Below are 1,134 nucleotides of genomic sequence, written 5' to 3' on the forward strand. Positions count from 1 at the left end.
TAGCTCATGAGTGTTTAACATAATAACTTATGCTGCGTATGTGTTGCATTGTGAATATTTTCATTATTACATAAATTTTCTATACTAGAATAGCTAATATTTTAATAGACATATCAAATGTATCTAACCATAATGTCATCATTGGAAATTTAGATTGTTTTTCAATATTTAATATTTTAAATGGTTATAAAAGAAACAGTTTTTCCAAAACAATTACTTGTATTTGTAATTAATTTTGTTGTATATTGCCAAATTGACTTCCAGAAAATATGAATCCAGATTTTTAGTTCACTAGCAGTATATACAAATATCCATAACATTTCACACTTGCTAGCATTTGGGATTATAATATATTTTTTAAAAAATAGAACTTGATAGATTTTTTTATATTCTTTTAGTGACTCTTTAAGGAGCAAATACTATATAGCAGACAATTTTTAAGTGCTGGAAATATAATGGTGAACAAGGTAAACAATGTCTGTGCCCTTGAGCCCTCACGGACTTTAGTTTTTCAGTGAGAAAGAAGAGAGGAGAGTATAAATAGACAATGAACAGAATAAGTAAGTAGTGAATAAATGTAGCACAGAAGTGGTACCATGGTATGGAGAAAAATAAAGCACAAAAGGGAATACCAGTGAAATAGTCATTATTGATGCTCATTATGTACTTGTTACTCAGACTTCTAACGAATCCTGGAGGGCTGTGGTTGACTGGGGCCATCTAGTCAGTTCTACTTAATAAGTGCCAAGTCAAAGTGACCTGTTTTATCTCTGAGCTAGAGTATTGAATACCCTGTGAGAACCACAGCAGAGGTCTCTGTTTTTCTTACTGTTATGACTGGCAAAGTTATATAGTTTCTGTGCTTCTCTAGGGCTGGTCTAAAGGTACTGACGATATTGAGCAGAGCCCTGACCCATGAATGATATATAGCAAGAACAAGAAATGAATCATCATGGTTTTAAGCTACTAGAATTATGGTGGTTTTTGTTTGTTTGTTTGGTTTTTGTTTTTTACATAGAGGCAGTAAGATATATTTTGTTGCTTTTTAAAATTGCATTTCTAGATAATTCAGAATACAACTAATTATTTGTTGGTTATCAACCTGTGTATCTTCTCCTGTGAATTGTCTACTTC

General features: G+C 31.7%; 1 annotated feature.

The window, feature by feature from the left end:
• Positions 634 to 834: a silencer, noted in NCBI's record as "peak525 fragment used in MPRA reporter construct". NCBI's record gives its function as "represses an SCP1 promoter by STARR-seq MPRAs in K562 erythroleukemia cells {active_cell/tissue: K562}" and the evidence as "EXISTENCE:reporter gene assay evidence [ECO:0000049][PMID:32103011]".

This window comes from Homo sapiens, chromosome 1 (genome assembly GCF_000001405.40).
Source record: "Homo sapiens chromosome 1, GRCh38.p14 Primary Assembly".
Taxonomy (NCBI): Eukaryota; Metazoa; Chordata; class Mammalia; order Primates; family Hominidae; genus Homo; species Homo sapiens.